Source organism: Homo sapiens, chromosome 13, assembly GCF_000001405.40.
Source record: "Homo sapiens chromosome 13, GRCh38.p14 Primary Assembly".
In the NCBI taxonomy this organism is placed as follows: domain Eukaryota; kingdom Metazoa; phylum Chordata; class Mammalia; order Primates; family Hominidae; genus Homo; species Homo sapiens.
This window is the reverse complement of record NC_000013.11, coordinates 23,874,836-23,897,944: the sequence shown is the minus strand read 5'-3', so window position 1 is coordinate 23,897,944 and position 23,109 is coordinate 23,874,836. Positions and strand designations below refer to the sequence as shown.

At 41.6% G+C, this 23,109-nt stretch overlaps 2 protein-coding genes and 1 long non-coding RNA gene across 14 annotated transcripts in view, besides 2 other annotated features; 2 read left to right on the top strand and 1 right to left on the bottom strand.

Annotated features, from left to right (window-relative positions):
- The first annotated feature begins 442 nt into the window (after nt 1-442).
- C1QTNF9B (C1q and TNF related 9B) lies at nt 443-6,846 on the top strand. 3 transcript variants are annotated; one of them, NR_104426.1, is made up of 6 exons: nt 443-527; nt 719-823; nt 939-1,124; nt 3,744-3,806; nt 5,884-5,919; nt 6,434-6,846. NR_104426.1 is itself a non-coding variant. In NM_001007537.3 (5 exons), exons 3-5 carry the CDS (start codon nt 959-961, stop codon nt 6,654-6,656), a joined length of 1,002 nt encoding a protein of 333 aa, NP_001007538.1. In that variant the 5' UTR covers nt 443-527; nt 719-823; nt 939-958; the 3' UTR covers nt 6,657-6,846. The 3 variants fall into 3 exon arrangements, 2 of the variants coding, with proteins under 2 accessions (NP_001007538.1, XP_047286257.1); NM_001007537.3 differs by having other exon boundaries at nt 5,884-6,846; XM_047430301.1 differs by lacking the exons at nt 443-527; nt 719-823 and adding an exon at nt 3,303-3,434.
- On the bottom strand, nt 5,842-9,077 carry PCOTH (prostate and testis expressed opposite C1QTNF9B and MIPEP). Of its 7 annotated transcripts, none has more exons than NR_172510.1 (4): nt 8,934-9,077; nt 7,903-7,945; nt 6,414-6,560; nt 5,842-6,332 (listed from the first exon to the last, which is right to left on the bottom strand). It is a non-coding gene; the product is annotated as a prostate and testis expressed opposite C1QTNF9B and MIPEP (long non-coding RNA). The 7 variants fall into 7 exon arrangements; NR_172516.1 differs by lacking the exon at nt 8,934-9,077 and adding an exon at nt 8,208-8,479; NR_172515.1 differs by lacking the exon at nt 8,934-9,077 and adding an exon at nt 8,208-8,479 and having other exon boundaries at nt 6,495-6,560.
- Nucleotides 8,146-8,205: an enhancer, noted in NCBI's record as "active region_7469". NCBI's record gives its function as "activates an Ori minimal core promoter by ATAC-STARR-seq in GM12878 lymphoblastoid cells {active_cell/tissue: GM12878}" and the evidence as "EXISTENCE:reporter gene assay evidence [ECO:0000049][PMID:35858748]".
- Nucleotides 8,265-8,765: an enhancer, noted in NCBI's record as "H3K27ac hESC enhancer chr13:24463319-24463819 (GRCh37/hg19 assembly coordinates)". NCBI's record gives its function as "activates a minimal SCP1, AML or CMV promoter by ChIP-STARR-seq in primed H9 embryonic stem cells {active_cell/tissue: H9 hESC(primed)}" and the evidence as "EXISTENCE:reporter gene assay evidence [ECO:0000049][PMID:30033119]".
- Nucleotides 8,545-23,109, top strand: part of MIPEP (mitochondrial intermediate peptidase) — a 159,212-nt gene continuing 144,647 nt past the window's right edge. For 2 of the 4 annotated variants that reach the window (NM_005932.4, XM_011535098.4), the window contains exons 1-5: nt 8,545-8,813; nt 11,439-11,612; nt 16,158-16,246; nt 18,591-18,677; nt 23,036-23,099. In NM_005932.4, coding sequence (NP_005923.3) covers nt 8,625-8,813; nt 11,439-11,612; nt 16,158-16,246; nt 18,591-18,677; nt 23,036-23,099 — 603 coding nt within the window. In that variant the 5' untranslated portion in view covers nt 8,545-8,624. Of the gene's footprint in view, nt 9,268-11,438; nt 11,613-16,157; nt 16,247-18,590; nt 18,678-23,035; nt 23,100-23,109 lie in introns of all 4 variants that reach the window. The other 2 variants (XM_011535097.3, XM_047430368.1) reach the window with 1 other exon arrangement.

Sequence of the window (23,109 nt, the reverse complement as noted above, 5' to 3'; positions counted from 1 at the left end):
ATGTGGTAAAAAAAATATATAACATAAAACTAACCAGCTTAACCATCTTAAGGGCACAGTTCAGTGGCATTAAGTACATTCTCTTTGTTGTGCAACCATCACCACCACCCATCTCCAGAACTCTTTTAAAATCTTCCCAAACTCTGTACCCATCAAACAACTCCCATTTCCTTCTCTCTTCACCTCTGGCAACCATCATCCTACTTTTTCTTTATATGAGTTTGACGGCTCTAGGAACCTCTTATAACTGAAGTTATCCAGGTCTGTCTGTTTGTGACTAGCTAGTTTCACTTAGCATAATGTTCTCGAGGTCCATTCATGTAACACATGTCAGAATTTCTTTTCTTTCTAAGGCTGAAGAATATTCCATTGTATGGACCTACCACATTGCATGTATCTGTTTATCCACTGAGGGACCCTTGGGTTGCTATGGAAAATAATGCAACTACGAACATGGACATCTGTTCTAGTCCTTGCTTTCAATTATTTTGTGTAGATGCACAGCAGTGGAATTGCTGGATCAGATGGTAATGCTATGTTTGCTTCACTATTTGTCATGTGCCTTTATGCATATTGTGATAAAATTTGATTTTTACAATAGTCCTGTGAGATAAGTAAGCATTGGTCTGTGGTTAAGAGAAGTGATTTCTTCAAAGTGAAATGATGAACGGAAGAGTATCCTGACCTTAAACTTGGCTTTTTTTTATTGCCCGTTCAGCTTGAAGAGTGGTTCCAATCACAAGTGTTACCTTCCAAGGACAATGTCATCCTGGTAATAACCAGCTTGCTCCCCTGCCCTGAGTCTTCTGCCAAGTCTGTCCAGGTGTGGGTCTGGGGCAGGGGACAGCTCATCCATTTCCCACTGCACAGAACGGAGGCTGTGTCCAGGGCCCCAGCAACAAAGGTTTCTCCTCTGGGTTTCTGTTTCCCTCTTTCAGTTCAGTCTGTCATCTGAACCATGAGGATCTGGTGGCTTCTGCTTGCCATTGAAATCTGCACAGGGAACATAAACTCACAGGACACCTGCAGGCAAGGGCACCCTGGAATCCCTGGGAACCCCGGTCACAATGGTCTGCCTGGAAGAGATGGACGAGACGGAGCGAAGGGTGACAAAGGCGATGCAGGTACTCACCTGACGGCTTCGGCTGCCTTTGAGCTTCTCTCTTCATTACTTTCATCTCATTCACTCATCATCTGTGTGGTTTTCCACCTACCCACTCACAACCCATCCATCCATCCACCCAGCAACATTCACTGGAGCCTGACCCCATTCATCCATCCACCCATCTGCCCAGCAACACTCACGGGGTCTGCTCCATGCCAGACTCTGTGCCAGGTGCTGGTGGAGAGCACAGGGCCAGATCGCCATGACCCCTGCCCTCCTGGGTTCTCTCATCTCTGACACCGCAGGACATTTTCAGTAGTATACAATGTCATGGATCCTCCCACCTCAGGTGACAGGTATGTTGGATTTTTGGCAACACGAGGCCAATAGAGAGATCTGATCATGAATTATTTGGCAGCAAGCACCCAGCTGCAGTGCAGGTGAGAGCTAATACCATATCATGTCATGAAGCAGGAGATGCGGAGTGACAGATGACACATACAGCTGCTGCTTATGAATCTATGACCTAGGCAGGGTCTGGGGATCTGGGGACAGAATCCATCCTCTGGGAGGGAGATTTGCCAAAGCCTGGAAGTCTGAGTGCTTTCCATAACAACAACCAATAGACTTGGTTTCTGAATGGGGTACCATTCTTGAGGCCTGGTCTTGACCATAGGGTCACATATCTAAGACTTATGCAGAATGATTCACTGGGTTAAGAGCACAGTTCAGTGGCATTAGAAAGAAAATATCAAAACTTCTATGGACCTTTTTACAAATAAGTTTGTGTTTCTAACATGTCTCACTTTATGGCATTTGGTGGCCTGATAGTTTTTTGAATGGGCTGGATGAAGCCAAGGGTCACCAGGAAGCAACTTTATTTCTTTCTAACCGGCACATCTGCTCTGTGAGGTGTCTTCTCCTGGCTCCTCACATCTCCAGCTCATTGAGACTGTTCCAGTCCCCCGGTAGCAAATAGCCCAGTCCAAATGAATACTAAAACCTTACCCTTAATGAAATCAGGTCTTCTGCCCTCACACTGTGACCACAGTGGTGTGTGTGTGTGTGTGTGTGTGTGTGTGTATGTCTGTGTCTGTGTGTATTTTATTTCTGAATGTTTAGGATTTTCATTTTTTAAATTTTTGTTATAAAATATTACACATAAAAGGAGATAAATAGGTGATACAAAATACAGAGAACTAAGACAAACACTTCTATATTCAATACCAAATTTCTCTACCTCTTCCGTGTTGAATTTCTCTCCTCTGCTCACCAATGTCCATTCTTTCAAGTTTTACATACTTCTTAGAAGCAAATGTTATATCTATTTTTTCTATGTAATTCATAAGTATTATTTGTAATATATATTCTTTCTTAGAAGGACATTCAATCACATTGCTCACACTAAAAATTTACTTCATTTTTATCTTACCATCTTAAAGTGTATTTTTGTGTATGTTTTATACCAAACATATTTTTCATATACTACCTGTGCATAATGTAGAAACATATAAATGTCTACTGATTGGGGTCTGTGTTCATGCTTTGTGAGTTGTGGTGCGTGATCATGAAAGCTCAGAGGCCACTGCTCTAGAGAATGGGAGAAACGAGAGCCAAGCAGGGGAACAAAAAGAGGGAAGGAGAGGAAGACACAGGGGAGCAGCCAGTAGAGGGGAGGGAAGGGGAGCGCAGGGAGGGGCAAATGTAGGGATAAGCCCCCTCCATTCAGAGGTCCCACGCTGACCAAGGCCCCACTCAGGAGCGCTGGTGTCCCAGGAGAACAGACATCGTGACAGAAATAAGTCTGCCTGTGTCAGTCCTGTCTCAGGACCTGCAAGCCGGCCCAGCCTGCGCCTGTCGCCCCACAGCCACGTCAGTGGGTCTGAAGTATGGGAGTCTCTGCTGCTTTGTGAGAAGCCAGAGTCTGGGGTGAGCTGTGGCCCAATGAGCACTCTACTGCCATAGCCAGAGCCACCTTCAACCCGCTGACGGATAGCACGCCGACCTGGAGCTCAGGGGGGCCTGTTCTGAGCACAAGGACTTGAGTGTAGTCAGCAGAGCCCCACTCACCTGATGTTCTCTGCCAGCTCGATTAGTAGCATTTCCCCCAGTGTAAGGCACTAGAGGGATCCCTCCAGAACTCTCTCTTCTATCTTGGGATAGTGTCACGTAACCATAGTCATCTGTGTTTTCATAGGAGCCTAGTAAATCTTCCATTCCACTCTCCTCAAGAGTAATGGAAGAGAAACAGAGTGAGGAAACCTCCTCGCACCTCCAACATTCAGACCACGTCCCAAGTCCTTGTCGCAGGAGAGGAACACAATCAATTGTGACAGTCAGTCCCCATTGCACACACTCCCTCTTCGTCCTGTCTTGCTGTGCGCTCTAGGCACGTCCTAGAGATGGGCGCTTGGGAAGTCACTCAGTTCATTTCTTAGGTCACTTATCCCACGCAGCTCAGCACCCCAGATGCCCGCTCATGCCTGCCTCTCTCCACCTGCGCTCGTGTGGAGGACAGAGTGCCCGTCAGGGCGGGGGTCACCCCCAGACTCTCCAACACATGGCTGATGGAGACCAATGGCCAGAAAAATCAGAAATGGAATTTCAACTCATGCCTGTTTTCTGCTTTTCCACCTAGGAGAACCAGGATGTCCTGGCAGCCCGGGGAAGGATGGGACGAGTGGAGAGAAGGGAGAACGAGGTTAGTAGTTCCTATTTATGGTGCTCTAATTCTGAGCTGTCGACTATTTAACAATATTACCATGGACAAGTCCTCCATGCTGATTATAATCTTATAATAAAGGCAACACAGTTCTTACTCTCCAGATGGGGGGATTCTGCAGGGATTGGCAGGCTTTGCAGAGGGCTGGGTAGTAAATATTCTCAACTCCACACAGATCTGTCACCACTACTCAACTTCCCCTTGTAGTGAAAAGAAGCTGTAGATGCTCCATAAATAAGCATGGCTCTGTTCCAGTGACACCATATGTGTGAAGACTGAAATGGGAATTTCCCATGGTTTCCATGTATTGTGGAATATTATTTGTGACCATTTAAACATGCAAACCATGGCCGAGCACCATGCCTCACACCTGTAATCCCAACACTTTGGGAGGCCCAGGTAAGAGAATCGCTTGAACCTAGGAGTTCCAGACCACCCTGGGCAACATAGTAAGACTTTGTCTATACAAATAAAAAAACTAGCCAGGCATGGTGGCACATGCCTGTAGTCCCAGCTACTCAGGAGGCTGAGATGGGAGGATCACTTGAGCCTGGGAGTTTGAGGCTGCCATGAGCCATGATCTCATCACTGCACTCCAGCCTGGGTAACAGAGTGAGTGACCCTGTCACAAACAAAAACCAGAAAAACAAAAAAAATGTCAACCATGTTTGTTTTGCTTGCGGGAGGGAGGCTGAATTTGGCCTGTGGCTGTAGTTTGCTGAACTTTGAACCTTGCAGTGGATGAGCACTGAGGAGTGAGACTGAGTTTTTGACTTGGTGCATCTGGCAGCACTGCATGGAGGAGGTGGCACTAGAACTGGTCCCTGATGGGTTGGGATGTAGTCGTAGTGGCAAACTTGTGTAATCTTCACTTTGTGCTTTTCATGTACTGACTCACCAAATGCAACATCCCCAGACACTAGGTAGTTTTATCACCCCAGTTCCGTAGGTGAGGGAACAGAGGCACGAGGCTCACTAGCTCGTCTGACGTCCTGTGTGCATATGGGGACAGAATGGAAACCTGGCACTTAGCCTCAGAGTCCACACTTGCAACGACGGCTCTTTGGTATGGGTGGGGGTGCAAGGAAGCAGCAAGGTTTCTGTAGATGATGAATTGCCGGTGGGATAGGTGGGTTGGGGCTGGGGTTGGGCAGGAGAGGGCAATGCCTCGATGCAGGCTTTATTTTATGTTCACTCCAGGGAGGAGGTTTTTAGAGGATGTCACGACTAGGGTTGAGTGTCAGTTAATCTGTCTGTCTCTGCTCTGCAGAGTGCTTTTTGTCATGGATTGACATTATTTAATAGCCAGCATGGTAGACTTAGATGGTAGGGTTGTAATTTCTAATGTGAGCCCTGACACTAATTTAGTAGACAGTAGTCAAAAGGTGTGTTGGGATGTGTGTGTGTGTGTCCATGTGCACACACGTGTGTAATTGGAGTAATTGACTTTTATTTATTTTTTTGAGACAGGGTCTCACTCTGTTGCCCAGGCTGGAGTGCAGTGGTTTGATCACGGATCACTGCAGCCTCAGCCTCCTGGGCTCAAGCCATCCTCCCACCTCAGCCTCCTGAATATCTGGGACTACAATTGTGTGCCACCGCACCTGGTTAATTTTTGTACTTTTTGCAGAGATGAGGTTTTGCCATGTTGCCTAGCCTGATCTTGAATTCCTGGACTCAAGTAGTCTGCCTCTCTTGGCCTCCCAAAGTGCTAGGATTACAGGCATAAGCCACTGAGCTGGGCTGGAGTAATTGAATTTTATTTTCTTATTTTTTTATTATTTTTATTTTTTTAGAGTCAGGGAATTGCTATGTTGGCCGGGATGGTCTTGAACTCTTGGCCTCAGGCAGTCCTCCTGCCGCGGTCTCCCAAGGTGCTAGGATTACAGGTGTGAGCCACCGCACCCAGATGGAGTAATTGAATTTTAAACTCTGGGCATATACTGAACCTGTGTACTACTTTGTTTCATTTGTGAGCTCAATTATAGAAAAACCAAAGTTGTTCACAAGGGAATCTTTCACAAACTATCTCTTTATTTGCTCTTTCTCTATTTAGGAGCAGATGGAAAAGTTGAAGCAAAAGGCATCAAAGGTGATCAAGGCTCAAGAGGATCCCCAGGAAAACATGGCCCCAAGGGGCTTGCAGGGCCCATGGGAGAGAAAGGCCTCCGAGGAGAGACTGGGCCTCAGGGGCAGAAGGGGAATAAGGGTGACGTGGGTCCCACTGGTCCTGAGGGGCCAAGGGGCAACATTGGGCCTTTGGGCCCAACTGGTTTACCGGGCCCCATGGGCCCTATTGGAAAGCCTGGTCCCAAGGGAGAAGCTGGACCCACGGGGCCCCAGGGTGAGCCAGGAGTCCGGGGAATAAGAGGCTGGAAAGGAGATCGAGGAGAGAAAGGGAAAATCGGTGAGACTCTAGTCTTGCCAAAAAGTGCTTTCACTGTGGGGCTCACGGTGCTGAGCAAGTTTCCTTCTTCAGATGTGCCCATTAAATTTGATAAGATCCTGTATAATGAATTCAACCATTATGATACAGCAGTGGGGAAATTCACGTGCCACATTGCTGGGGTCTATTACTTCACCTACCACATCACTGTTTTCTCCAGGAATGTTCAGGTGTCTTTGGTCAAAAACGGAGTAAAAATACTGCACACCAGAGATGCTTACGTGAGCTCTGAGGACCAGGCCTCTGGCAGCATTGTCCTGCAGCTGAAGCTCGGGGATGAGATGTGGCTGCAGGTGACAGGAGGAGAGAGGTTCAATGGCTTGTTTGCTGATGAGGACGATGACACAACTTTCACAGGGTTCCTTCTGTTCAGCAGCCAGTGACAGAGGAGAGTTTATAAATCTGCCAGACCATCCATCAGAATCAGCTTGGGATGAACTTATTCAGATGGTTTTACTTTATTAATTCCTCCAATTATTACAATAATCATAAAAAGGTGAAAACGGAAAAGTTATTCCCAAAACTGATTCTATGTAACTTACTATTTTTCCAGGAGTAAATATTTAAAATAGCTGCATGGTTTATTCTAATTTATTTCACATTTCTTATTCCTATTATCTGAAGAATCCTTTGTCTGTGCATTTCTTGTGGGAAGAGTGTTTTGATATCATTTTAGTGCTCTGAGGAGTCATATGAAGATGTATCCCTCATCTGTGTTTCTGAGGACATTAAGGGGAAATTAGAGGGAAATGTTTATTCCATTTAGTACTAGTAACAGCTTTAAGCTGGTGATGCTGTCACACTCCAGAAAGCTGTAGACACTGCTCATTTTGTCTTTTTTTAAAAAATGTATTTTTAAGTTCTGGAATACATATGCAGAACGTGCAGGTTTGTTACATAAAAATGTGCTGTGGTGGTTTGCTGCATCTGTCAACCCATCACCTATGCAGGTATTAAGCCCTGCATGCATTAGCTATTTGTCCTGGTGCTTTCCCTCCCATTTTGCTCATTTTCTAACCTAGGTTTTAATCACCATTCTATCCAACAAATCATTGTTTGATCATTATTTGCCAGACATGAATCTCTACTTGTTTTCTAGGATCGCCCTAATAAAGTACACAAACTGGGAGTCTTTAAACAACAGAAACGGACTTTCTCACAGTTCTGTAGGCTGGAAGTTTGAGATCACCGTAGCAGCAGGGCCATCCTCCCTCCAAAGGGGATACAGGAGGATGCAGCCTTGCTGCTTCCAGCTTCTGGCAGCTGGTGGCAGCATCACTCCAGTCCCCGCCTCCATCTTCAGGTGGCTGTCCTCCTCCTGTATCAGCCAAATTTTCCTCTTCTTACAAGAACAGCTTCCCTAATCTAGTATGACCCATCTTAATCATAATTGCAAACTCCATATTTTCAAATAAGGTCACATGTACAGGCACCGAGGGTTAGGACTTCAGCATCTATTTTGGGAGACACAGTTCAACCCAATCTGCCCTCTGGTTCCCAAAATTGATTTCCTTCTCATGTGCAAAATACATTTTCGCACCATGTCAACATTACCAAAAGTCTTAACACTTTCCGCATCAACTCCTCTCACCATCTACATCATTTAAATAAGCTACAGAGGAGACTTACTGTGTGATTCATCGTGTGGCAAAATGTCTCTCCATCTGTGATCCTGTGAAGCGAGACGAGTTAATCCACTTCTAAAAGACCGGGGGTTGGAGGGGGAGACAGGCATAGGGTAGACAATCCATTCCAAAAGAGAGAAAGGGGAAGGAAAAAAGGGTTCACGGGTCCCAGGCAATTCTGAAACCCTGGAGGGAAAATCCCATTAGACTTCTTTCACTATTTCCCATCTAAAATTTTTAACTGAGCTATGCAAGAGTAAAAAGTTACCGGACAGAGACACCAAACAGAGAAGTGCAGGATAAATTTACCAAGAGAGTAGGTTAAAAGGGAAACTTCTCCTTCAGGCCTATGGTGGGCATTTCTTGTTTACTCAAGTACCTGCCGTCTCTCAAAGAATATCTAATGTCCACTGGAATTCGAATATGTCATGATTTTACTCGCGCCCACCCCTAGTCAACTTGGGAGGGAAGCGCAACCCTAGCCTTTTCTTACTCTGGACACAGGGGGCGGTAAACCGGGAGGGCGGCCGAGAAGGCGAGGGGGAGCGACGCTCTTGCTCTCTGGACGACAACGTGCCCACGTCCTGAGGCCGCGCCCAGACCCGGAAGCGGGGCCGTCACGTGGGGCGGCGTGGGCTGCTGCCTTGGAAACGCGGAGCGCGCGCTCCCAGCGAAAGCAGCAGGGCAGGGATCTGCGTTGGAGGAAGGGACTGCTCTGGTGCTAGAATGCTGTGCGTCGGAAGGCTGGGCGGCTTGGGAGCCAGAGCAGCAGCTCTGCCGCCCCGCCGGGCGGGCCGGGGAAGCCTCGAAGCCGGGATCCGGGCCCGAAGGGTCAGCACCAGCTGGTCTCCCGTGGGCGCCGCCTTCAATGTCAAGCCCCAGGGCAGCCGCTTGGACCTGTTCGGCGAGCGCCGGGTGAGCGGCGCAGGAGGAGCTCCCCTCAGTCCCCGAGCTAAGCCGACCCCTGCTCCGCGCGGCCAGCAACAATCAGGGCGAGATTGTTTGGGCCTGGGAGGAGGCGAGCAGCGAACCCACCTTTTACAGTGGCGTCTTGTGTGCGCTCTCGATGAGGGCAAGGTCACCTCTGCTTTGAGGGGCCGGGTTTAGTGGTCTCCTACCCAGAGTGTCGGGTCCGGGAACTGCTTCTGCATGAGCCCCTTGCTCCACGTGAATCTGAATAGTTCGTTCTGGCAGTGGCGGTGAATTCGTCCTGCCAGGACCCGCCCTCTGCATACACTCAGGCGCACCCCTGCTAAAGCCCTTTAGCTCCAGCGCTACAGTCCTGCCTTAAGAGGCCTATCCCTGTGCGTTCACAGGCGGCATCACATGGTCTTTTTGCAAGGACACGGCTGCCTGCAGTCGAGTAATGGTAATTTCATTAATACCTGAAATTCCATCATCTATTAATTAATTTATTTCAAAGCTTTGGGCTTTCTTGTTTTAAAACACAAAACTCTGTTGAGACGAGTCTCACTTCCCATAGTGCCATGGAATTGGTCACTTTGATTTCTTACCCCAGGAAGTCACTAGCCTGCGTTGTCTAGTGAAAGGTGAGAGGAAGGCAAGGTTGGAAAGGACTTACCTGATGCCTGTTCTACTTGGAGTTTGTACATTTTGTCCGTTTTAGGTTAAGGATTACTTTTATTTTTGCCTTTTAAAATTTCGTTATACTGTATTGCCTTATAAAGACAAGTCTAGGGTATTGTTGCACTGAGCTAAAGTGTGTGATTCTTGTTTTATCTCCATTATCAGTTTTGTCTATTTAAAAATTATTTTGTGTGAAATTTGCTACACCACCTTCCTTAAGGGTATGTAGTGTTGGTATTAACATAGTTGGTGTGAAGAGACCTACTTGTAGGCGCTGAGCAGAAAGACGTGAGGGGAAGCCTGATTTTGGGTGGATGAGATATAACTAATTTTAGCTTTTATTTTTCCCTTTTTGTATCATGATATTCGGCACTGATAGCAGATTTTCAAATTTTAGAATTGATTTTTGCCTTGAAAAAAAAAAAGCCTTATTCAGTTTTTTAGCATTATGGTCACTGGTAATCCGATAGTTAGAATTCCCGAGAGCAATATGGGCAGGTTGTACTGGGAAGTGGAAGTAGTCTGTGCTTGAATCAAATTAAATCAGTATAAAGATGACATTTGTTTTTGGTCCTGATTTTCCTTTGTCTCCCACTGACTTTCTTTTATTTTATTTTTTATCTTGTAATATATTTTGAAGAGAGATTACTAGCTTAACTTCATCCATCCCTTCTTGTAGAAACAGTAGGGCTTGTCAGGCCTGAAGGTTTACCTGTTCGTATTTCTGAAAATCTATGCGTTAAGCACCTACAAAGTGAATTAACAAAGCCTAGCATCTGCTCCGGTCACTTGTTTCTTTCATTGAGTTCCCCCATGTGTTAGACATTCTATTGGATAGCTGGTTAAAGAAATGAAGGGCAGGGCTCTTGGGTCTGGAAGCTCACCTTTTCAGGAGAGAAGACTTTCAAACAGATAAATTGTAATAGAGAAGTATGGAAAAGTGTGGGCTTTACAGATGTACAGAGCGGGTTCGAGTTCTGTCTTTCCCAATATTAATTTGTGACCTCAAACAAGTTTTTTCTAACGTCTTAAAGCATGTGGCCTGATCTGTAAAAGAATGATACTCTGTTCTGTAGGATTGTGTGATTTAAATGAGAACCTATGTAAAGTAGCAGGCACACTTCATGGTATGCAGTAGGTGCATATTAAATGCTTTTTCCCCCTGCCTTCCTGAGTGTGCTAACAAGTGTGATTGAATAGGTAACAAGAGAATGGTCATTACCATTAGATCAGTGATTTTTGTTTTTATCAAGATATTGAAATGTCTTTGTAACGTATAAAATTTGCTCCCAGTTTCAGCCTATGATTTTAATATGTTCATTACATTTTTCTAAAATATCTATTGCTTCATAGTCAACTCATCCTCCCTATTTGATAGTTATAGAATAATTGGTACTATGTACTGAGATCTCACCTTGTCAGCTGCTGCTGTTAGTACTTTACATATACTTATTACCTGTATCCATGCTGTAAGGTATGTATCGTCATTCCCATTGTACATGATGAAAAAAATATTTCTCCTAGGAGGAGAAATAACATGACCAGGGTTATAAGCTAATAATAATTATGGCTAACATCTATAAATGCTCTGTGCCAAACACTGCTTTATGTATATATATATATATATTTACATATATGATCTCATTTAATCTTTGCGGCCACTCTTAGGTTCTGTAGAAGTGACAGCTGGATTTTGAACCCATACCATTGTTGTTGTTGTTTTTTCCGGAAAATAATTAAAAATTGAAGAAAAATTATGTTCTGAAAACATTTTTAGTGTAATTTATGTGGAGTGATATGGGGAGTATGATAGTGGTATCTGTGATCACAGGTATAACATGATACACCAATGAAAGTCAAGATCTCCTTTGTGATAAAAGTAATTTTAGTAAATATAAAAAAAGCACAATTTTGAATTTTGGTTATAAATCAGACGTATTCTTTGGTTCTAAGGGTCTTTTTGGAGTTCCTGAGCTGAGTGCCCCAGAAGGATTTCATATTGCACAAGAAAAAGCCTTGAGAAAGACAGAATTGCTTGTGGACCGTGCATGTTCCACCCCACCTGGGCCCCAGACCGTGCTGATCTTCGATGAGCTCTCGGATTCCTTATGCAGAGTGGCCGACTTGGTAAGGTGCTTTACCTCAGACTTGAAGCTACCTCTCTTTCAACTTGTTAAAATTTAAGTGAAATTTATCCTTTGTTGTTTACTATTAATATTAGATTATAAAGTTAAAAATGTCTGAAACTGAGATCCATTGGGTATAATTTTTTATGATGAAATATGTCATTAGGAATGGGAAAATATTATAGGAAAAGGTGATATTTAGAACTTGTACTTTAATACGTATGTTTAATAAAATATACATGTAATATATAATGAATGAATACTAATATAGCAAATATTTGCTATATTTGGGTAATATATATTTACATATATATTCATTTGACAGAGATTCTTCATTTATGAAAGTGTCTCCCAAAATTCTAAGAACACTTTATGTGTACATTTACAACAAAATTCCCCTTTTTCTTTTTTTTTTTTTTTTAATAGAGACAGGGTCTCCCTGTGTTGCCCGGGCTGATCTTGAACTCCTAGCCCCAAGTGAACCTCCTGCCTCGGCCTCCCAAAGTGCTGGGATTATAAGTGTGAGCCACTTCTTTTTCATAAGAGGTGTGAAAACCAGTTTTAATAAACCTTTTCAGGAATGCTTTTTTTTTTTTAATTAAAAACCAAGTTTTGACATCAAAATGATTGTAAAGACTTTTTTTTTTTAACATTTTAAATTTGAAATAGAAGTGTATACCTAGATCTCTTCAGCAACTAGGAAATCCATTGCTGAGATAGCAAAATTTTCTTTTTTTTTTATTTTTAATTTTTGTGGGTACATGTATATATTCATGAGGTACATGAGATGTTTTGATAGAGGCATGCAATGCATAGTAATTACATCAGGGAAAATGGGGTATCCATCCCCTCAAGCATTTATCCTTTCTGTTACAAACAATCCAATTATACTCTTCTGGTTATTTTAAAATCTACAATTAAATTATTATTGACTGTAGTCACCCTGTTGTGCTATCGAATAGTAGGTCTTACTCAATCTTCCTGTTTTTTTGTAGCCATTAACCATCCCCACCTCCCCCATGCCACCCTGCTACCCTACCTAGCCTCTGGTAACCATCCTTCTACTCTTTATTTCCATGATTCAGTTGTATCTATTTTTAGGTCCCACAAGTGAGTGAGAACATGTGATGTTTGTCTTTCTGTGCCTGACTTATTTCACTAAACATAATGACCATCCATGTTGTTGAAAATGACATAATCTCATTCTTTTTTATGGCTGAATAGCATTCCATTGTGTGTAAGTACCATACTTTCTTTATCCATTCATCTGTTCATGGACAGTTGGGTTGCTTTCTCATCTTGGATGTTGTGAACAGAGCTGCAGCAAACATGGAAGTGCAGATATCTCTTCGATATACTCATTTCCAGGAAGCAGGGTTTCCTATCAGCTTGAAGGAGCTGACTCTTGGTTACTCTTGTCAAGGAAAGCAGCACACACAATTTAAATAGTGATCATTTATGATCCTGTCTACATGGTATAGAACTGCATAGGTTTTTCCCTCACATTCAGTCAATGTTGAGCACGTACTGTGTGCCAGACACTGTCTAGGCATGAGGGATACATGCAGGAATGAAACAGACACAATCTGTTACTTCATGGAGTTTATATTCTGGCATTAACTTGTTTTTGGAAATTTAACTAGACTGTAGGCCCTTTCTACAGCCTAGTTAGCTGAAGAAGCTTTCCCTGGATGAGCTGAGGTAACCTTCTCAGCATATCTCCATTTTCACAAGAGGGAAGAAAGGCACTGGGTGATGAAGGGATGTGCCCGCTGTCAGCTGGCCAGCGTGTGGTGCAGCTGGGCTGCCAGCCCAGGCAGGGTATCTGTCGAGCTCTTCTTCTTTCTCCTGTTCCAACCATTTCAGGGCTGGCTGGCTGCTCAGGTCTCATGAATCCTTACCTGGAAAGGTTGCAAAGTTTGTTAGCCTCTCCATCTTTAAAAAAAATGTATACTTGTTTTTAAAATTATTATTCTGTAAAATTGACTTCTTTTGGAGGATGGTACAGTTCTATGAATTTTAACTCGTATAAATTTGTGCAGCCCTCACCACAATCAGGATACAAAGCTGTTCCATCCACCCCCAAAAATCTCCCTGTAGTCACACCCCCCCCTCCCCACTAACCTCTGGCAACCACTAATCTGTTCTCTCTCCCTATAGTTTTGCCTTTTCTAGAATGTCACATAGGTGGAATCCTGTATACCTTTGACTGACTTCTTTCACCCAGCATAACTCATCCCCATCTTTATTTTTTTTCCTTTTTTGGAAAATTTCCTTCCACCCATACAACTGATTTGAGCATTAACACCTTTCAGATGATTATATGTTCACCACAAGCCTCCCGCTCTTAAGAAAACTGATAAAGTATCTTACTGTAAAGGGTTTTTCCCTGGAGTGAAGTTGCAGGCTCTGAGTAGTTCTGTTGTACTGGGTTTTTGTTCTGTGCCTCCAGTATGTGCATAGGAAATGTGTCTTTGAATGATGGGGAAGCTGTGGAAACGCACTGCCAAAAGGAGGTTTCATACCCTGTTCACCTAATTGTGTCACAGAAATCAGAAAAGGAAAATCTGTGTCAGTGAATTTCACTGTATCGTCAACCCTCCAGATTGGGGGATCTGTGGAGTCAACCAACCTTGGATCAAAAATATTTGGAAAAAAAATTTGCATTCATACTGAACATGTACAGACTTTCTTTTCTTGTCACTGTTCCATAAAACAATACAGTGTATCAGCTATTTACATATTGTTTACATTCATTAGGTATTACAAGTAATCTAGATATGATTTGATGTATGGGGTGTGCTGTGTGTCGGTTATATGCAAGTACTACACCATTTTATATCAGAGACTTGAGCATCTGTGGATTCGGGTATCTGTGGGAGGATCAAACCATTGTCCATTGATACTGAGGGGTGACTTGGCGTGGCTGTCACAAATCCCAGAATTCACTGTGTATTTGTTGTCTTAGTCTTCATCTTAATCAGTATTCTAGGATTTTTTTCTACATTTTTGCTTTTGATCTTCACTAAAAGATTTTAACTTCTCTGCGCTATATCTTATTTTGACATTTTTAGTATTTATCATGTATAATAATATCTCATTTTGAAAACTTAAAAAAAAAAGATGTGATTTGTATATGTAGTTCTCTGGGTATAAAAGAACCTTTCTCTGTTCTGAATTTTTAAGATATTACCTGCCAGTAAGATTATCTGAATTTTTAATATCTTAAAAATATCTGAATTTTTAAGATATTACCTGCCAGTGAGATTAGTACTGTTATAAGGCAATCGTTTTATAAACTGTTTTTCACCAAATAGTCATTTTATTTTGTTTTCTTTTTTAATACAGTTTTTATGTAACAACTGTTTTCCTCATCACTATTACAAATCAGTTTTTAATATGTATGCTAGTGTTTTGAATTTTAATATTGATTATAAATTCACAACCCGTAGATTAGTAATTTGTAAAAAAAAAATGTTGTAAATTTACATAACTCATTTTTCAGGTACTTTGGTACTAATGTTATTTTATCGTTACCAATTGTTACAACAAATATACCAAACTATGGATTTAAATGTTTTGGCATTAAAAACTATTTGATAATAAAATTAAGAAATTTTATCTTGTGGTGATTTTATTTCATGTTATAGTCACATTTTCTTGGCAAATAAAATATGTAGTGTTTTGTAGTTTCTCTGCTTTTTGTTACAGTTGACATGAAAACAAAAATTTAGTTTTACATCATTTTATCTTTTTAAAAAAGAACTGTCACTCATTTTAATGTCTAATGACTTAAGTAGCAGCAGCAGTAGTAGCTGTATACAGTATTACATGGAGACTACGAACTCATATTTTATTGAAAGGACTATGAAGAGACCGTGCCTTTGTTTTCTGCACAAAGACTACCATGTAGTTAAATCAAAGACTAGAATGTAGTTAAATGGGTTTTGAAACTATACTATGTGTCAGTTAAAAAAAAAAGCCTTTAAGAGTTGTTTTCTGGAGATAAGTTAACATGTGAAAACCATACTGCAAAGAATTTTAGCCAGAAAGTTGTAGAATATTTGAAACCAGTGTCTGCTCTTTTGAAATAAAGAATTAGAGGGCGTGGTGGTGGGCACCTGTAGTCACAGCTACGTGGGAGGCTGAGACAGGAGAATGGCGTGAACCCGAGAGGCGGAGCTTGCAGTGACCTGAGATTGCGCCAATGCACTCCAGCCTGGGCGACGGAGCAAGACTCCGTCTCAAAAAAAAAAAAAAAAGAAAGAAAGAATTTGCTTGGTGTTTATATTTGAAAGAGAAAAACTTTTCTGAAATAATAAAAGTCTTTTTTTGGAGTGAAACAAACTTGGTTTCAAGGAATAACAGAATTAAATGTTCAGAAAGAAGCTGCTTTGCTTTACTCGCTTAGGAAAAAGTCAGTAATGGAAATGCATAGGGCAAGCCAATGGCACATCTTAAAACCCAGTTTTCATTTTCACCCTCAGATCCTGGAAGAAAGCTTCTCATCAAATTCCCTTTTGGTTTTGTCTTTCCCCTTTATTAGGCTGATTTTGTGAAAATCGCTCACCCTGAGCCAGCATTCAGAGAAGCTGCGGAAGAAGCTTGTAGAAGTATTGGCACCATGGTAGAGAAGTATGTGCTGTTCCCCTCCCCACCTCCATGCCAAGTCCTGGGTGATCCGGTTTCATGGACTTGTGCCGTAGGCAGTTTTGTCCATAGCGCTTGTCCCTCACCCAGCAGGGTGGGAGGTGTGTGTGACCAGGGGTGGCCGGAGGGAGGGCTCAGGACAGGCCATTGGCTCACCTCGCAGGCAGGCACTGGGCCTTAGGGCTGGTTGTCTGTTCTCTCAGTCATTTCCTTGTCTGTAAATGGGGTCGAAAAGTTAACCCTGCCTCAGGGTCCTTGTGAGTGTTAAATGAGATCAATGTAAAGGTGTCACTTGATAATCTGAGATGACAGACACCCAGGATTCTTGTCATCACCATTATCACTTACCTTAAATAAGGGCTTTTTAGTGTCCTAGTGGCAAGTTGGACTTACTAGATTATCGCTTGATTAAATTGCTGTTGCATCAATGGCTGTGGGCCACGGGGCGAGAAGCCAAAATGCTCTATAAACAGTGTCCTTGTGGTCCCTGTTGAGTTGGAATTAGGGGAGTCTAGGGAGGCTGTAAAAGTCTGTGGGAGGGCTGGAGCATGCTCTGGCTGAGGCTGTGATAGAGTGAATTATTTTAAAGTGATTTTGGGGTAAATGTGAGTATTTTTAAGCCACTTATAAGAGCTCCATAATGCTTGTTAAAATAACTGAATGGTGGACAGCGCTGTATTCCAACACACTTAGCTGCATGGCACCATGCCAGGCAGTGTATAGAGCTAGGGAGAGCCCTGGGCTCGCCAGCGTGGATTTACAACAGGGAAAAGGGGGTAACACGATAAGACAATTTCATATGCCAGAAATTGTTGGAGGAGGAGAGTGATGGCTTCTCTGGTTAGACGAGGCTTCCTTGGAAGACCCAACACTTCAAGATGTGCAGCTGCTGCTTTTCCCCAGGTCGCCAACATTTGTTCACTTTGGCACAATCGTGTGTGACTTTTCCCATAGCCGCTGAAAACCAACTTGCGTAATGGGACAGAACGGGGCCCTGCAGAGTGCAGATACTGGGCATGCTGACAGGGCTGAAAGTGGGGACTCCCTGGGAGAAAGCTTTGCCTCTCGGGGAAAGGCCCCTGGGAAGGAGTCAGCAGTGGGCTGCCTGCTCGAGGCTCTCTGCATGCTGTGTCCTGCCGAATTAGACGTGGGCTGGTCTCATGGACAAGCACTCTTCATTTTGTCGGAGGACAAATACAGACTGAAGTATGGGCTTTATCTCAGGGTCTTCCAACATAAAACATACTACTGGGAGATTTCCTTAAACCTCTGCAGTGGGGGCAGTGCGGGCAGCCTCTGAGCTACTGTTCCTTTGCCATGGAGTGGCTCCGTGGGTGAGCAGGTTGGGAGGAGGTAGGCCTCCACACTCACTCTCTCCCTGACTTCTGGGATCCGTGTGTGGGAGTCTGGCCCTTCTTGGTGAGTGTTTTTTTGATGGGTAATGACTATCTACGTTTCACTAGTATTTGGGAAGGCCCATGAGAATGGTAGCAGAAACCCTTCGATTCATATAAATCTTAAGTGTTTTTTTGTGAACCAACTGAGGAACAGGAGTATCCTTGAGTCTCTGAGTAGCGACTGGTGAGTGGTTCTTACAACCTTATCCCTCCTTGAAGACCTACCCAGCAGGGTGCAGATTGTATCTAGACCCAGCTCACTATTTAGTTTTGAGGGGGCCATGGCATTTGCATTTAGGGAAGAGGACTGGGTTCCTGCTAGTGGTACTATGGGGTGGGTTGGGACCACTGCCCAGCATTGGGCCCTTTGCTCTCTGGATGGCACAACTGCTCAACAGTGGCCATGGTTCATTCACATAGGAAATGTGTGCTGCACACATGATCTCATTTAATCCTCACGGCAGCCTAAAGTCTAAATAACGTGTCCAAGGTCCCACAGCAGTAACAAGGCCAGTCTTGCATCCCAGTTGGGTGGCTCTGAAGCCTGTGTCCTGAGCTCTCCCTTACAGTGTTTTTAAATTTAAAAATTAGCTGGGCGTGGTGGTGTATGCCTGTAGTCCCAACTGCTTGGGAGGCTGAGGTGGAAGGATCACTTGAGCCCAGAAGATTGAGGCTGCAGTGAGCTGTGATTGTGCCACTGCATTCCAGCCTGGGTGCTGGGTGACAGAGTGAGACCCTGTCTCCAAAATAAGGGAAAGAAAGAAAGAAGGGAAGGAAAGAAGGAAGGAAGGATGGTTACACTGTTCCTGGTAGGTTATGCTGTTCAGCTTCTGGGCATGTGTGTGGTACAAGCTGACACCATTCTTTTCATGTAAAGTTAAAAATAAGGTATTAGAAAATCATCTAATTTTTTAAATTTCTATTTTTTCTAGGTTGAACACAAATGTGGATTTATATCAAAGTTTGCAAAAATTACTAGCTGATAAAAAACTTGTGGATTCCCTTGATCCAGAAACAAGGTACTCACTCATTTCTTTGCCTTGATTGTGACTGTGACTCTAGAGGTGAGGTTGGGAGACTCTCCCTCAGGGCCTCTGTACTTGCAGCCTCTGTTGTCTGGAATGTTCCTCCCCAGGTATCTCTATGACTCCTGCACTTTCTCTAGGACTCCACTCAAATGGTGTCTCCTCCAAAATCTTTGCACAGGGTCAGACTCTACCCTCTGATCCTGATTTATTTTTCTTCATAGCCCTCGTTCCTTCCAACGTATCCTGTTTGTTTATTTGTCTATCATCTATCTCACCAGACTGCAAGCTCCTTGAGGGTAGGGCTTGGTCTGTTTTGTTCCCAGCTGCATCCTCAGTACCTACACATTCATGGCATGTGGTCAGTGCTCAACTAATGAGTGGACTCCTGTAGACAGTTAATAATTACACTTAGCTTTATGCTCAAAGTTCCATAATTGATACTATCAGAAAATGTAAGCAAATCGATTTTATCTACTGGGAGGATGTCAAGATCCTTGTAATGATTTGCTTTGGTTCATTAGGCTACATTTATAAATCTGCATCAAAAAGGCCTTACTTTTAAATCAACATGTTAGAATATTTGATATAGGAACCTAGATATCTTATTTCTTTGCTCAAATGCAATTGTGAGTGGAGTAGGGTTTGTCCTTAACCTGCTTATAATATGTATGTCATAACACAGATTAATTTTTTTTCTCATTTGTTTGTTCCTGTTTATCTACGTTTTGTTGGTGGGACACTTCCTCTGACAACTTGATTCTTTCTGATCCTGTTTCCTTCTATTTTGTCTCCATATGTGGCTTATTGACCCCAAATGAAGCCATTTTCTATAGGGACCAATTGATCATCCAGTTTGCTGTTAATCTAATACATGAGCAGCATGGTATGTGAGTAACTCAGTCTTTGAGGGGTTATTTTCATCTGCCTGGCAGGTATGCAGGTACCTAGTGGTGTTTCACTTTATCAGTCCTGATGCTCAGGACACTAGTGAAGCTAGCTGTGTCATCACAGTAGTTTAAGCTTTATCGTTATATTGCTTTCATTAGCAAAGCAAGGAAAAGTCGAATGCCTATTAATTGTGCCAGATTTATACGGAACTGGTACTGACTTTACATAACAACAAACAATGTTAAAAATAGAAGGTTATTCATAATCTCTATTTACTGAAGATCGACATGCCCCTGTTTGTGTATAAAGAATTGTAGTGGGCTAGCAGACCATTTTAGATAGAAAGGACTTGTAGTGATAGGATACATACCACATTTCTAGATATTATTAAAAATGCCAATAGGGATTTTTAAATAATAAAATGATAAATATATTGGGGAAAATAAACTGGGTAGAATATCAACAGTCTAGAAAAGAAAAGCAACTTGGAAGTAGGAGAGAAGAAGAATTTGAAGTAATAATTATTGCAGTATCGTGGCACTTAGATATCATTGAGTGTTGGCTAGCACCCAGAAAGAACTATATTTTAGAACCATGCATATGGCAAAATATAAGACAGTGGCTAAAACAAAGAATTAAAGATTTAATAAAGTCTTGTAAGTTAATGTACAGAGGGAATGATTTAAATTGAGTAACTCATCATGTTATTCTTAGATTCAGTCCTTGAAATACTAGTCTCTGAGATGTTCAGAACTTTTCTCAGAATGGTTCCTTCAGTCAGTAAGTTTGGAAATCTGATGTATCAATGTATTTCCCTGCTTGAAGAATTTTAGTAGTTTAGAGTCTCTGAGAAGCCAGGCCATAAAGAAACCTGTTTAACTTGGGGTTTTTCCAAAGCCATTAAGAGCTTTCATGTATGCAAAGACTATAATAAGCACATTCTCCAGAAAATATAATGGAGGGAAAATTCTAGTTGCAAGAACAGCCAAAGCTGTAACACACGTTGGAATGAACTTGGGAAGGTAGAGTGCAGAACCGCAACATACACAACACCTAGGAAGCATGCAAGCGACCGAAATGGAGAAACATGCTGTATTCTTAAGGAAGAAGAAAGCTCAGTAATGTTTATTACTATAAGTTTAATGCTATCCAATTTATAAAGAATTTTTTTATTGTTACTTAAAATGATTTTGAAGTCATAGAGAATAAATATGCCAGAATAGGCAGGAAAACTCTCGTAAGGAAAAGTACTAAAAAGGGACTTATACCAGATAGTAGAACATATAAAAATGCTGTATTTAAAGAGCGTTATACTTAAAAATGCCAGAATAGTCAATTAGATCAATGGAAGAATAGAGAAATTTTAGACACAGACACAGATACATAAACAGTAAGACTATTTGGTATGTGATAAAAGTGTCATTTCACATCAGTAGGGAAAGACTTGGTTTTCAGGAAATGATGTTAGACCAATGGATAACCATTTGGGGTAAAAAAGTAGATTGATTAAAGATTTAAATATTTTTAAAAGAAATTATAAAACTACTGGTAATCTTGGGATATGGAAGGTCTTTCTTGGCATGATACAAACTCATACAACAGAAAGATTCATTGATTTTTATTATATAAACATTGCAAACTTTGGTAAGGCAAAACGCTTCCACATTCAAAGTCAGAACACACAAATGTTGACAAATGGTTCTGATATGACAAAGAGTTAATATATTATCTATGTTAAGAGACCTTTCAAATTACTTTAAAAAAAGAAGAACAAAAACCCCCCTTATAGAAAAATGGGCAAAAGATTCTGTTTGTGAAACTCTCATTTCACAAAATAAGGCATAGCAACAGATGGCCCTTAAATTGATAGCAGTGTGCCACAGCTGTAACAGTGGCACCAAGTGTGAAGTGGGTGGAACTGCATCTCTAGAATGGAACTGCGGGGTTGGACTTTGGCTTCAGGGCTCACTAAACCCTAGTTTTCTCCTTTGTAAAACGGAAATAAAAAGTACTTCATAAGAATCATATGAGATGTAAGGGAAATAATTTGTGTAAAGTGCTCTGCTCTGTACCTGGCATGAGACCCACCACCATTAAGGAAAGATAGAATGAAGCAAAACTTTTTGTCAGCCAGCAGCTGACAAAGTTGAAACAGAATAAGAATAGTAGTTCTGGTTTGGGATGATGGATCCTCTCTAGTTACGGGTAAATTGATAAGACTTCATGGAGGAGCATTTGGTAATATATATCAATGTGCATACTTTGTGATTAATTTCTTGGAATTTATCCTAAGGAAACAAACAAGGATTAAAAACTGTAACAAGGATTTTTATTATATTGTGGTTCATGGGAGTGGGAGAGTAAAAACATTTGCAGTCTATATAACAACACAAAACAAGCATCAAAAGCCAACTTTTTGAAGAACGTTTAAAGACATGGAGAACTGTTCAATGTTTGTGATATAATTTTACAAGAAAGAGCAAGATACAAAAGTATATACAGTTGGGCCTTAATTATTCTAAATATATAATATAACATTAAAAGTAGATTGAAAGGAAATACAAGAATTTTAATAGTCATTATCTTTGATAGGATTAGTGATTTTAAATGTTTCATATGTTTCTGCATTAGTTTTGTTACATAATAGACCTATATTGTGTAATACGATAAACGTACACTATAAATTTCCATTCAAGGTATATTTGATGTAATAATCAGGAAGGTAAATATATCTATTTTGAAAACTCAAGGAAAGCCAAAAGAGTAGATCAAATATTTGATTATTTCCATTCAATGTTGTTGGTTTTTTTTAAAAAAAATACCATTGACAAAAAAAAAAAGGTGTTACACTTGAAATTGGTTCCAAGCATGAAGCAGGAGTAAAAAGAAAGAAAACAATTCTCATTAGCCAAGAAACTCAGCTTCCAGCACAGCATCAAAGAATTTAATATTCTAAATAGCTGCTACTGGCTAGAAGAAAAACTAAAAATCTCATGCAGAGGGCCTTTGAAAAATTGTCCAAATATAAAACTGTTTTATGTTTTTAATTATTGGGATTTGGATTGAGTTGAAATAAATAATTATTTATTACAAACCTGTGGTACTAAATTATTTATTACAAACCTGTGTACTAAATAAAATTATTATTATTATTTAGTACAAACCTGTGGCTTTCACAGGTTTGTACTCTCTGAATAAAGGAATAAGCTCTTACATGACAAGCCAATCATAATTGTCAGTCAGATAGGTGTTTTGCCTGATGTTTGCCTTAATATCTGAGGATATTAAGCTCCTTGTTTAAAACAAAGTGTGTGTGTGTGTGTGTGTGTGTGTGTGTGTGTGTTTTGAAGAAACTTTTGGCAGTGAGGCTGAAAAAGACTTATTTATTTAACAAAAAACCACAATTTTTTTGTTAGCAATTTTTATTACCTGTTATAACCTGGGGCTCATTTCATTTATAGGCGAGTGGCTGAACTGTTTATGTTTGATTTTGAAATTAGTGGAATCCATCTAGACAAAGAAAAGGTACATCTTT

Coding starts and splice junctions, on each gene's coding strand:
- C1QTNF9B (NM_001007537.3), top strand. CDS start 959: ATGAGGATCTGGTGGCTTCTGCTTGCCATTGAAATCTGCACAGGGAAC. Junction 1,125..3,743: donor GGGTGACAAAGGCGATGCAG/GTACTCACCTGA, acceptor TTTTCCACCTAG/GAGAACCAGGATGTCCTGGC. Junction 3,807..5,883: donor TGGAGAGAAGGGAGAACGAG/GTTAGTAGTTCC, acceptor TTCTCTATTTAG/GAGCAGATGGAAAAGTTGAA.